The sequence below is a fragment of the Homo sapiens genome, chromosome 18 (assembly GCF_000001405.40).
Source record: "Homo sapiens chromosome 18, GRCh38.p14 Primary Assembly".
Lineage (NCBI taxonomy): Eukaryota > Metazoa > Chordata > Mammalia > Primates > Hominidae > Homo > Homo sapiens.
The window spans coordinates 26349580-26364015 of record NC_000018.10 but is presented as its reverse complement, the minus strand read 5'-3'; the positions used below and the strand labels follow the sequence as shown (position 1 = coordinate 26364015).

The window sequence follows — 14436 nt, the reverse complement described above, 5'->3', positions numbered from 1 at the left end:
TAGCAACAATAAAGGTAATCTTCGAATGTTAAAGTGCTATGTTTTTGAATGTTACATTTTTTTAAAAACTACCATCATTCTATTCAATCTTCCCAACTGAGAGTGCTCCCTTTTAGTAGGAAAAAACCTGCATTCAAACTAAAGAGTTACCCTCTGAAGAACTAGATTCTACTCCCACTTCTCTCTGGGATTATATGCTGATTCTAAAAAATTTAACTCAAACATGTTAAGATTTCAGGTTCCCATCGATAAAGAAGCAAACAAAAAGTAAAGGCTTTGTTTCCAGAGTACAGAATATTGAAAGTAAAAATGGTTTCATACATCATTTTTGTGTTATTTGTGAAGAAATAAAGCAAGTGAATAAAGGTTTCTAACAATTGTAACTAATGCAAATCAGCAGTATACCTAAACATTGAAGGAGCATGCAATAGGGCTCTCTCCTCTCTCTCCTTTTTTCTTTTATTTTTTTCTTAGGCAGGGTCTTACTGTGTCACCCAGGCTGGAGTGCAGTGGCCTGATCACAGCTCACTGCAGCCTTGACCTCCTGGGCCAAGCTATCCTCCCTCCTAAGCCCTCCAAGTTGCTGGAACTACAGGCGCACACCACCACGCGCTGCCTTTTTTTTTTTTTTTTTTTTTTTTTTTTGGTAGAGACAGGGTTTTGTGACCCACACTCCTCAGCCTCTCAAAATGCTGGGATTACAGGCTGGAGCCACTGCACCCAGCCTGTCTCTCATTTTGAAAACAAAAATGCCTTTAAAGTTAAAACACCATGAATAAAAATCAACAACAAGGAAACTAGTGTTCAGCAAATTTCAAAATAATAATTGTACTAAAAATGTCACCAGCTGATTAAAGAAATAGATATTTTCAATTCAAATTGACATTATAGTCATCCCTTGGTATCCTCGGGGGACTGGCACCAAGATATAGATAGCAAAAACCAAAGACGCTCAAGTCCCTGATATAAAATGGCATAGTATTTGCATGTAACCTACGCATATCTTCCTGTATACTTGAAATCACCTCTGGATTACTTATACTACATAATACAATGTAAATGCTATATAAATAGTGTAATACTGTATTTTTAAATTTAGTATAGTTTTTAATTGTTGTAGTGTTATTTTTTATTATGTGATGTTTTTTCCTCCGAATAATTTTGATCTGCAGTTGGCTGAATACACAGATGTGGACAGAACCCACAGATCCAAAGGACTGATTATATGACTATTATCTCAGCTTAAAGTACAGGAAGTACAGGGGAAAATATGCATGCCTGAGTTCTCAAAACTAAAGAAGCACCAAGTGACAGACAATTCAATATATTTATATCCAAGTTAGTAAACATCTGTTTTGAAACTAAAAATTAAATAATTTTGCATTTTATTGTAGATAAATCACATAATGGTTTTTATCATTGTTTTGAACACAAACAGCACATTCGGTTTTCTCCCTAACCAATGGATTTTCTCAGATTCAAACATATAATAAATAAAAACACCTAAAAATCTGTTTATTATAAATTAGAAAGTATTCTCTAAAATTTGTGACAAATTCAAAGGAGAATAAGAATTGATGCTCAGGAGAGATTAATGATTAACATTGCAAATTCACTATGGGCCATTAATGCTACTGATAAAATACTATTAAAAGCCAAAATCATGGAATTATTACTATGATTACAAATATGACAATTCATTAAGCACTTACTTGAGACCAGACACTAATTAAGTACTTCACATAAACCAATCCTTAAAACATAAGACAGGCAATATGCCCATTTTACAGGTGGGGATAATTGAGGTATGGGGTTTAAAGAACTCATCCAAGGTTACAAAGCTTAACAGAGTCAAGAAGCAAACCCAGATTTTTCTGAGTCTAAAGCACATATACTTATCCCATGTGCTCTGATGATTTCTCACAAAGCAAACATTTAACATAATTTGTTGTATAATGTTACTGTAGTAGAAAAGTCAGGAACTTAGACATGCCTATAACACATTCTCAAAGGAATTAAAAGTTACAAGTAACTACTCTTGCCACAAAATAAAATGTATGCTAACAAAGCATATTTATAGGAATATACTTAATGATGAAATAGCACACCCCAATTTAAATAAAATATTTACACATATCATATACAAATGGACCAAAAACAAAGAGCAGTGAGTTGTCCTGTACTAGAACAACTCAGTAGAGTTGTTTCTAGCAGAAAGATAAATTCTATGCTGAACTAATTTTTCCATACTTTTTTTTTTTTTTTTTTTTTGAGACGGAGTCTCACTCTGTTGCTCAGGCTGGAGGGGAGTGGCGCGATCTCGGCTCACAGCAACCTCCGCCTCCCGGGTTCAAGTGATTCTCCTGCCTCAACCCCCCACGTAGCTAGGATTACAGGCACATGACACCACGCCCAGCTAATTTTTGTATTTTTAGTAGAGACGGGGTTTCACATGTTGGCTAGGCTGGTCTCGAACTCCTGACCTCAAGCAATCTGCCCACCTCAGCCTCCCAATGTGCTGGGATTACAGGTGTGAGCCATCATGCCTGGCCAGTTTTTCCATAATTTCAAACATATTATATTAAGATTTGGGGCCAAGAGTGTGGCTCATGCCTATAATCCCAGCACTCTGGGAGGCAGAAGTGGGAGGACTGCTTGAGGCCAGGAGTTCAAGGCCAGCCTGGGCAACATAGTGAGACCCTTGTCTCTAAAAAAAAAAAAAAAATTAAAATTAATCTGAGGTACTTAAGTAGTCAAACTCATAGAAACAGAAAGTAGAATTATGGTTACTAGGGGCTGGCACAGAAATGGAGAATTGTTTACCGGGTATAGAATTTTAGTTTTACAAGATGAAAAGGTTTTGGAGGTTTTTTCAACAACGTGAATGTGTTTAACACTACTTAATTATACACGTAAAAATAAGATGGTTAAAAAAAAGGTTTGATACTAATATGTAAATAGTCATAAATAGAACTATATTGGGCTACTATATTGGGCAGTCCTGCAGTGCTGCCCAATATAGTGGCCACTAGCAGCATATGACTATTAAAATTTGTATTAAACTAAAAAAATTAAAAATTTATTTTAGTCACACTAGCCACATTTCAAGATCTCGACAGCCATATGTGGCTATTCAGGACACTGCAGACACAAATATTTTCAAAACCATACAAAGTTCTATTAGATAACACTGGTTCAGAGTGTACAGAAACAGACCCAAATACATACAAGAATTTGTATTTTTGATATACAGTTGTGTGTGATAAAGGTAGCATTTAAAATCAGCAGGGAAAGAATTACTGAGTAAATGGTGTTGGGACAATTATCTAGCCTAAGGGAGAATGAGAGAGGACTGAGGGACTAAAGCTAAATACACACGTCAACTCTTACTCAAGTTCGGTACGAATCAAAGATTTATGCTTAAAAAGTGAAATGATCAAAGTAGTAACACATAATTCTAATTAAGAAAGGGCCTTCTAAATAGAATATAAACCCAAAAGACAAAAATAAAAATGAAAGACTGTGGCATTTTTTAAAGGAAAAATAAAAACTTTTAGATGAATAAAGCCCAGACAAACTGAAAGAAAATGGGGCTAGGGAAAATGGGTTGTTCTATTTCCTTAATGGATTGAAAAATGTAACTCCATGGGAAAAAGAAAAATTGAAAATGCCTATTTATACATGAAAAGTTGCTCAACTTACTCATAACTTAAACACTCTATTAAAACTTGCATTTTCAGTCATGAGATGGCAAAGATAGTTCCCAGTGTTAATGTGAGTGTGGTGAGATAGGCACACTAATGAATATGAAAACTGATACAACTTAGAGGGTAATTTTTAAATTGTTAATAAAAATCATGAGCAACAAATAATATTTATGTATTAAATAATACTGAGTGTGGGAACGACTTTAAAATAATCTGAGGGATGAAAATTTTAACCTAAGAAAGTTGGTGCAAATATAAATGAAACAAGATTAAGCATATATTGATGGTCCTGTCCAGGTGAGGTGGCTTACACCTGCAATCCTAGCACTTTGGGAGGCCAAGGCAGGTGAACTGCTTGAGCTCAGAAGTTCGAGACCAAGCTGGGCAACATGGCAAAACTCCGTCTCTACCAAAAAAAAAAAAAATTAGCCAGGCATGGTGGTGTGTGCCTGTAGCTCAGCTACTCGGGTGGGTAAGAGGTGACAGGATTGCTTGAGCCCAGGAAGTTGAGGCTGCAGTGAGCCAAGATTGTGCCACTCCATCCTGGGTGACAGAGCAAGACCTATCTCTACATAAACAAACAAATAGGTAAATAAATAAAATTAAATTGACGGTCGCTGGAGCAGGGCGGTGCTATATAACAGTATAAGCACAGATAAGAAATACCTGAAGAATAAGTTGAATAGTATGAGAGAAATTGGTCAAGCTACAGTCAACCATTTCAGATATAAAGAAAATTACTTTAAAATAAAGGCAGTTTTTTGTACATTATACAGGACACAGTTCTACTATGCTATATAATTTACAAAGCCCTTTCTTAACTTTCACAACCATATGAGGGTTGATTATACTGCTCTCTCCGCCTTTGTATATATTTGAATTTTTTCCCATAGAGTTTTCCTAATGTTCATACCCTTTAAGTCAGGAATTCCATTTCTATGAATTTTGCCTGTACTTACATTGTACAAGCACACAACAATATAAGTGCAAAAATGTTATCTGAGGCAATAAAGGCAAAAACCTGGAAACAACCTAAATGTCCATTGGAGGGTTGGTTGAATAAATTATGGTTTACTTAAATACAGTAATGTCATACACCCTTAAAAAGTATGGAAGTAAATTATATGAGGTAGACTGTGGAAATGAGGAAAATATTAAGGGCATAATAATAGGTACAGTTTGATCATATTTAACTAAAAACAAAACCACACATGTAGATTTGTGAATGCATGTCATATATGTGCCCACATATATCCTGGAAGGATATGTGAAAAACTTAACAGTGGTTACATCTGGTTGGGCAGGAGAGGGGGAGAATATTTCATATGTTACATTTAAAATGAAAAAGAACTAGAATTTTTAAATCTTTCATCTATTAAGGTGAGTGGCGTTCATTTAGAAACTACCAATGTTCAGGATCAACAATGGTAGGAAGTTTGCCTCAAAGTAGATTTAAATTCTATAGAGAAGTATAAGATGAGCTATGGCTCTTTTATTGCTGACCTTATCTCAGAGCCCTTAGCATACCTCTATCTCAGCCCTAATGATTGCTCCTAAAGCCAAAAGGCTAATATTATCTTTTTTTTATTTTATTTTTTTGAGACGGAGTCTCGCTCTGTCGCCCAGGCTGGAGTGCAGTGGCGCGATCTTGGCAAACTGTAACCTCCGCCTTCCGGGTTCACGCCATTCTCCTGCCTCAGCCTCCCGAGTAGCTGGGACTACAGGTGCCCGCCACCACGTTCGGCTAATTTTTTATATTTTTAGTAGAGACAGGTTTTCACCGTGTTAAACAGGATGGTCTCGATCTCCTGACCTTGTGATCCGCCCGCCTTGGCCTCCCAAAGTGCTGGGATTACAGGCGTGAGCCACCTCGCCCGGCCCTAATATTATCTTAAATAATTACTCTGAAGATGTAAGTAAGATCCTTTCTTGGTGTTAACCAAACAATTAAGGTCATTTATTGAGTATACATGTGCCTATTCTATGGGGGAATACAAAAGACTATTATTATAGTCCTTGCTCAAAAAGTTTATAATCTAACAGAAGAGAAAATGTTCATACAAGGAAACAATGCCATGCAAACACATATACTCAGAAAAAGAGAAGCTGGTATGGGAATGAATAGTCAGGGTTTATGAAAGAAGTAAGAGGGCAGATTCGGTCTTACAAGATTAGCCAGATTTAGACAGAGGGAACAGGACTGCATAAAAACACTAGAAACAATGTACAGAAATAAAAAATTTAAATACTGGAAGATTCAATATGACTGGAGATGGGGGAAAGAAAAAGTATGAAATAAGTAACAAGTAGTATGAAATAAGTAACAAGTTCAAGGTGATAAACATCTTTAAAACCTGGCAAAAATTAAGATTTTATAAAATTGGCAAAGATGAATTTTAAGAAGTGTCTGGCAGCAACAGCGTGCATAACAGGGTAAACTATTTTTAAGTCTTTGCTTCTTTTTGGCTTGCTTTCTTGACATTAAAAATAAAATAATGAATATTATTTCAATACCTCAATTCCAGATTCTAGTGGTCTCTTCTTCCTTGGTCCAATAGCTGCAAGAGCTGTGAGATTAGCGTCTCTATGCTGTATCTGTGCAAGTTCCAATTGCTGTAACTAGAAGACGGAAGAAAAAAATATCAATGTTTATACACATTCATGCTCAGAGGGAAAAAGAAACTGATTACTAAGCCTAATTCTGCATTCACCAAATAAAGTTACAATATAAAATAAACATTAGATTCCCATAACAGCCAAGGGCACATTTTCTGATTCTTTTACACCAACAAACTCTTTAGTTCTTAATCTCTATATGGAAGAGGCAGAACTCAGGTAAAGGAGAAGTACAGAAAAGAAGAAAGGCATCTAAAGCTTAATTTCTCCCAGTATAACACAGATAAGAAATGCCTGAAGGATTAAGTTGAACAGTAAGTCAGAGAGAGATTGGTCAAACTATAGTAAACCATTTCAGATTAAATTCACTTTAAAATAAAGACAGTTTTTGTACATTATTGCACACAGTTCTACTATGCTATATAATTTACAAAGCACTTTCTTAATTCTCACAACCATATTGAAAGGTGATTGCTATAATATAAAAATTATACATCATCCTCTTTTTATTAATGGAGACAGTAAGGCTCTAAGAGGTTAGGGCAACTTCATAAAAGGCACCACACAAATAGTAAGCAGTGGAGACAGCATGTGGAGCAAAATGCTCTCATTAAAAACCTCTTTAGTACATCACACTTTCTCATTTGCAAATAAAAGTCTTAGATTTACTCTATAATATTCATGGCAAAATTCTAAAGTGATTTAGTACTGTTTTGTTGTACAGCTTTCGTCATACTTAATCAAGAATGCCCAAATCTACAGGGTATAATTTTTTTTTATGTGGGCAAAACTATACAGGGGTATGCATGAAAGATGTCCTATTAAAAGGCAGAAACTGCATTATTTCATTGAGGCAACTAAGTGTCAAATTAGGTATTCTGTTTAAAAAAAAAAAAAAAAACACCAAGTGAGAAAGTCAAAATAGAACACCACTAGATAAATCCCTAAGCTTTTTCAGAAGAGAAGAATAATGTTCAATTCCCATCAAAATCTTATTATTAATATTAATACTATGGAGGGAAAAGAGGAAAGAATCTGGGGCTGGTTGACAGTCACATATTCAAACAAGATCAAGACAGTCAACTGAAAGTAACCTGTTGAGAAACCCTATACATGTACTGAGAATATTCTTTCAAAAGAGTACTAACCAAAATCTTTTAACACATGTTTAAAAATAGAGCAGGTTGAAAACAAAAAGTAGTCTGTGGTGAAACGGTCAGTCTTAAGGATATACCAAGTACATAAATTCCACTTTAAGATTACTTCAGATTATTTTAATATTAGGGAAAAGAATGAATAACTGAATAGGTAACTGAATCTTTAGTAAAGCAGAAAATAATTGCTATGTTCTGAACGTCTGTATCCCTCCAAACTTCTAATGTTGAAATCCTAACACCCAGGGTGACTGTTATTAGGAGATGGGGCCTCTGGGAGGTGATTAAGTCATGAGGGTGGAGACTTAGTGCCCTTATAAAAGAGACTTAAGAGAAACCCCTCGCCCCTTCCACCAAGTGAGAACATAGTGCGCAAGTAGGCTCTAACCAGACACCAAATCTGCTGGCACCTTGATCTTGGACTTCCTAGCCTCTATAACTGTGAGAAATAAAATTCTGTTGTGTATAAGCTACCCAGTCTAAGATATTTCATTATAGCAGCCCAAATGAACTAAGACAACAATTAATTAAAGAAAATGAACTAAGAACCATTTTCCACTTGCTTCACAAATTATAGGACAGAAATCCTTTTAAACTGTGTGTTTACTTACAAATAAATTGTTAGAAAAGTGTTTTCAGAAGTTATAAAATATCTCTTGTTGCTGCTGGCCTTTTTAATAAAAAATATAGTTTTAGAGTCTAATGCTGCCACAATTCAGAACTTCTAGGTGACAAAATAATGATTTTAGTTAATCTACCCTGCAGTACAAATCAAACAACAAGCTATATTTTAAAGTCCTTCCCTGTAGAGAAATGGCATCTGCAAGATAGTCAAACCAAATAAAAGGTTTTTAAACTGACCACTGTCTTCAAATTCCCTATGTGTAGTGTAACATTTTCTCCCATTCTGCAAATTATACTTTGGTTTTCTGAAGTCTCTCACACAAAATTTTAGAAAATTTCACAAAAATCTAACAAAAATGGAAACTGACCATAGTTTTCATTGGCCCTGTATTTATAACAAGCTTTCTCAAAACCAATGCATCTTGACAAGCACAAAACAGTAAAACCAGGTACTTTTAACCAGAAAAGGAGGAAGTTCTGAGCATTAATGCAAATCTGGCATTTATCGAGGATAAAGACTACAATAAGTAACCTCAGTTCAATAAAAATGGCCACTGAGTTAGAGGCTTGCCTGTGGAAACAGGATGGCAAATGATACGATTATCTGTGCAGAAAACCCCAAGTTATCTATATATAAAAAAAATCCTCCTAAGACTGATAAGTGAGTTTAGCAATATTACAAGATGCAAGGTTGACACATGCAATAAGTGAGTCCTAAATATCATTAAGGTACAATTGGAAACTTAAAATTTTTAAATGTCATTTATAATTGCTCTCTCCCAAATGAAATACTGAGATATAAATCTAACACATACAGGTATTTCTACACTATAAATCACAAAATGCCTATGAAAGAAATAAAAAAATAAATAAACAAATGGAGAGACATGCTGTGTCCAGGCTTGTAAGACTCAACAAAGATTTCAATTCCCTCCAAATTCATCCACAGACTTAACACAATTCTAATAAAATTTTGTTGTGGATATGGATAAGTTGATTCTAAAGTTTATATGGAAAGAAAAATGAACTAGAATAGCTACAACAACCATTATTTTAAGAAGGACAAAATTGGAAGAATCATACCATGCAATTTTAAGACTTCTTATAAGGCTACAGTAATCAAAATAATGTAATACTGGTAAAGGGACAGACACATAGGTTAACAGAACAAAACAGAGAATCCACAAATAAGATGCATATAAATACGGCCAATTGATTTTTGGCCAGGTTAGAAAGGAATGCAGTTGAGAAATGACAAAAATTCTCTCCTTGACCAAACTTCTGAGCCCTCTTATCAACCAGGCCTGAACCTTGGCCTAAAAAACATTAACACAGTTTCTAACAGCTCAAGCCATAGGATGGCCTTAACTTCCTTAAAGAGCCTAACTGAAAAAACTCAAGACTGCTAGAATAATTTACTATTTGTTCCATCCAACATCTGATGATAAGGCCCCATCTTCCAGCCTCTATGGAAAGGCAGGAGCTGATTAAAGTCTATTCTTACCACTTTAGTGTCTGGCAGTCTTTTACACAAAAGTTGTGGGGCTGGGTGCTGTGCTCAAACCTGTAATCCCAGTATTTTGAGAGTTCAAGGTGGGCAGATCACTTGAGGTCAGGAGTTCGCACCAGCCTGGCCAACAGGGTGAAACCCCGTCTCTACTAAAAATACAAAAAGTAGCTGGGCATGGTGGGGACGCCTGTAATCCCAGCTACTTGGGAGGCTGAGGCAGGAGAATTGCTTGAACCCAAAAGCGGAGGCTGCAGTCAGCCGAGATCATGCCACTGCACTCCAGCTTGGGCAACAGAGTGAGATTCTATCTCAAACAAACAAACATCAAATGTTGTTGGAACAACTGAACATCCACGTGCAAAAATTTTTTAAAAATCAATCTGGATCCAAACCTCACACCTTATAAAAAAATTAATCAAAATATAAATGTAAAACTATAAAAATGTATAGGAAAAAACCATAGGAGAACATGACTTGGAGTCCAGCAAAGAGTCCTTGAACATGACACCTAATGCATATCTATAAGAGAAAAAATTGGCAAATTGGACTGCATCAAAATTAAAACTTTTGCTCTATGGAAGACACACTTAAAAGAATTAAAGGACAAGCTACTTTATTTCCATGTCTCCAATCTATTTGTCTTTCCTGCTTCATTGTACTGATAAGGACTTAAACTATAATGCTGAATAATACTGGTAAAAGCAAGTTTCTTTGCCTTTTTCCTAATCATTGGAAGAAAGCATTCAGTCACCATTAAAAACGATATTAGGAGGGTTTTTAAAGCTATCCTTTATCAGCCTCAGGAAGTCTCTTCATTTTTAAAATTTCTTACTTTAAGAGAGACAGGAATCTCGCTATGTTGCCCAGGCTGGTCTTGAATTCCTGGTCTCAAGCTATCCACCGGCCTTGGCCTCCCAAAGTGCCGGGATTACAGGCATGAGCCATCATGCCCAGCCAAGGAAGTCTCTTCTATTCTTAGATTCCTGAGAGTTTTTAATCATTAATGGATTTTAAATTTTATCAAACATATTTCTAAATTAATTGATAGGATCACATGGTGTTTCTTAGACTATTAATATATGATTATATTGACTGATTTTCAAATATTAAAGCAACTTTTCATTTCTAGAGTATAATATACATAGTCATGGTATATTATTCTTTCATATGTCAAGATCAATACATTCTTTTTATATCAAATCTAAAGTAGATTTGATTTGCTAACATTTTGTTTGGGATGTTTATATCTATGTTCATAAGAGATATTAGCCTGTAGTTTTCTTGTTTTGTAACATCTTTGTGGGTTTAACTATTAGGGCAACAATGGCCTCATAAAATGAACTGGAAGTGTTTCTATCTCTTCTATTGTCTGGAAGAGGCTGTGTAGAAGTGGTATTAATTCTTCTGTAAATCTTTGGTAGAATTTACTAAAAATCTGTTCTGGTATCTCTCTTAGAAGGTTTTAATTACAAATTCAATTTGTTTAATAATTACAGAACTAAAAAAATAAAGATTAGAGAACCATATCATCTTGGGTAAGTTTTGATAGTTTGTGCTTTTCGAGGTATTGGTCATTTAATCTATCTAAGTTGCCAAACTTATGCACAGTTATTTGTTATATTTGCTTTTGGAGAGAGGGGTGTGGCGGGGAGACAGGGTCTCACTCTGTTGTCTAGGCTGGAGTGCAGTGATGCGATCTCATCTTACTGCAACCTTCACCTCCTGGGCTTATGGGATCCTAACTCTGGAGGATGGCATCTGGGGGTAAGATCCCATGAGTCCAAGAGGCAGAGGTTGCAGTGAGCTGAGATCTCACCACTGCATTACAGCCTGGGCAACAGAGCAATATTAGTGATTTCTCTTCTTTGTTTTTTCCTTTCTCAGTCTTATGAAAAGTTCTCGATGTTGTTGATCAAAGAACCAGCTTCTGGGAACTTTTTTCCAAAGTCATTGATTAGTACTCAAAGATATGTGCTTCCTTCTGCTTGCTTTGGATCTATATTGCTCTTCCTATTCCAATTTCTCAAGGAAGAAGTTTAATTTATTGATTTGAGGCCTTTCTTCTTTTCTAATGTAAGCATTTTCTCCTATCTTGTTACTTTAGCTTACCTATATCATTACCTGTGATTTGAGTTGCTTAAAGATATAGTTCCATTACAGATTTTTAATCCATCCTGAGAGTCTCTATCTTTGAAATGGTATATTTGAATCATTTACACTTCATGTAATAATTATGATTAGATTAAGGTCTATCATTTTGTTTTCTGTATGTTCCCTCTGTTTTTCATTTCTCTGTTTCCCTTTTTCTACTTGGAATTATTTGAACTTTTTAACATTTTAATTTATCTACTGCATTTTGTAGTAACTCTAAATGTTTTATATTAATTTTTAGTGACGGCTCTAGGGATTACAATATACATACTTAAATTTTCAATCTGCTCAGCATCAATATTTTACCACTTCAAGTGGAATAGAAAAACCTTGGCCATATATATGGCTCTTTATCCTCCACATTTTGCTGTAGTTGTCTTATATATTACACATACATACAGTGAAAATCGCTGGTGTTAATTTTTCTAATCCATGCATATGGTAAATCTCAATTTATCCTTAATGAATTTCACCAATCATCATTTTTTACATCAGTCATATATATTTCATTAAACCTTTATTTGCATGTTAGATTTATGATCCTTTAATATCTTATTTATTTTCTGTTTGTTGCTGGTGTTTAAAACTATAACTGATTATTGAATATTAATTTTTATGAAGTCTGACATATAATTGTACATATTTATGGGTACTTAGTGATGTTGCAATACATACACAGTGATCAGATGAGGATAATTAGTATACCCATCATCTCAGATATTTATCATACTTTTATGTTAAGAACATTCACTAGCCTCCTTGTAGCTACTTGAAACTATGCATTATTAACTATAGTCATCCTACAGTGCTATAGAACTTACTTCTCCTATCTAGCTGTAATTTTGTATCCTTTAACAAATCTTTCCCTATCCCCTTTTCCCCCAGACCCTTTCCATCCTCTACTATTCTCTGTTCTCCTTTTTACTTCTATGAGACCAACTTTGTTTTAGCTTTCACAGATCAGTGAAAACAGTGTTTAACTTTTTTTTTCCTGGAATACTTTACTTAACATAAGTCCTCCAGTTTCCATCCATGTTATCATAAATGACAAGATTTCATTCTTTTTTATGGCTGTATAGTATTCCACTGTGTATATATAGCACATTTTCTTTATCCATTCATCTGTTGTTGAACACCTGGGTTGATTCCACATATCAGCAATTATTAACATGTATAGTGCTGAAATGAACAAGGGGGTACAGATGTCTCTGTGATATACTGATTTCTTTTCTCAGTACTGGGATTGCTGGATCATACAGTAGTTCTATTTGTAATTTTAAGAGGAATCTCCATGCCATTCTTCACAGTGGCTATACTAGTTTACATTTTCACTGACAGTGTTTAAGAATTCCATTTTCCCTGAATCCTCGATAACATTACTCATTTTTTGTCTTTTTGGTAATAGCCATCTTCACTGGGGTCGAATGATATCTAGTTGTGGTTTTAATTTTCATTTCTCTGATGATTAGTGACATAGAACATTTCTTCCCATACCTGTTGGCTGTTTGCATGTCTTCTTTTGAGAAATGTCCATTCTGATCATTTGCCCATTTGTTTGTTTTTAATTTTCTTTTTCTAGAAACAGGGTCTCACTCTATTACCCATGATAGTATGTAGTACCATGATCATGGCTCACAGCAGCCTCAATCTCCTGGGCTCAAGTGATCACACTACTTCGGCCTCCCAAGCAGCTAGGACTACAGGCCTATGCCACCATACCTGGCTAACCTTCAGTTTTAAATTTTTTGTAGAGACGGGGTCTCTATGTTGCCCAGGCTGATCTCAAATTCCTGGCCCCAAGTGATCCTCCTACATCTTCCTTCCCAAGTGTTGAGAGTATAGGCATAAGCCATTACACCTGGCTCATTTGCCAATCTGTTAATCAGACTGATTTTTTTGCTGTTGAGATGCCTATTTGTATATTCTGGATATTAATCCACTATCAGATGAATAGTTTGCAAATATTTCCCCCCATTCTGTAGTCTTATTTTTTTTACTCTGTGGATTGTTTCCTTTGCTATGCAAAAGTTTTTCATTTAATATAATCCCATTTATTTTTGCTTTTGTTACAGGCGCTTTTGACGTCTTATTCATAAAATATTTTCCTGACATAAAGTATGTCCTGAAGCATTTCCTCCGTTTTCTTCTAGTAGCTTTATAGTTTCAGGTTTTACACTTAGATCTCTGAACCATTTGACTTTTTAATAGGGTAAGAGGTGGAGGTGTACATTTATTCTTCTGCATATGGATGCCCGCTTTCCCAGCACCTTATTTTTTGAGGAGAACATGCTTTCCCTGGTATATGTTCCTGGCACCTTTGTCAAAAAATATGTTGGCTGTAGACACCTTGATTAACTTCTGGATTCCCTATTCTGTTCCGTTGGTCTATGTTTATGTTTTTGTTTTTATGCCAGTCACATGCTATTTCGGTGACTACAGTTTTGAAGCATATTTTGAAGTCCAGTAGTGTCATGCCTCCAGCTTTGTTCTTTTTGCTCAGGATGGCTTTGGCTATTTGAGGTCTTTTGCAGTTCCATATGAATTTTCAAATTTACTTTTCCTATTTCTGTGAAGAATGTCCTTGGTATTTTGACAGAGATTGCATTGACTCTGTTGATTGCTTTGGCTAGTATGGTCATTGTAACAATATTAATTCTTCTGATCCATGAGCATG

General features: G+C 35.3%; 1 protein-coding gene across 4 annotated transcripts in view; it reads right to left on the bottom strand.

The window, feature by feature from the left end:
- TAF4B (TATA-box binding protein associated factor 4b) overlaps positions 1 to 14436 on the bottom strand; it is a 165241-nt gene that overhangs the window by 27670 nt on the left and 123135 nt on the right. For all 4 annotated transcript variants that reach the window (NR_121653.2, NM_001293725.2, XM_024451239.2 and 1 more), the window contains one exon: positions 6222 to 6326. Coding sequence is in view for 3 of the 4 variants with exons in the window: in NM_001293725.2 (NP_001280654.1) it covers positions 6222 to 6326 (105 nt within the window). In the remaining variant the exon portion in view is untranslated. The remainder of the gene's footprint in view (positions 1 to 6221; positions 6327 to 14436) is intronic.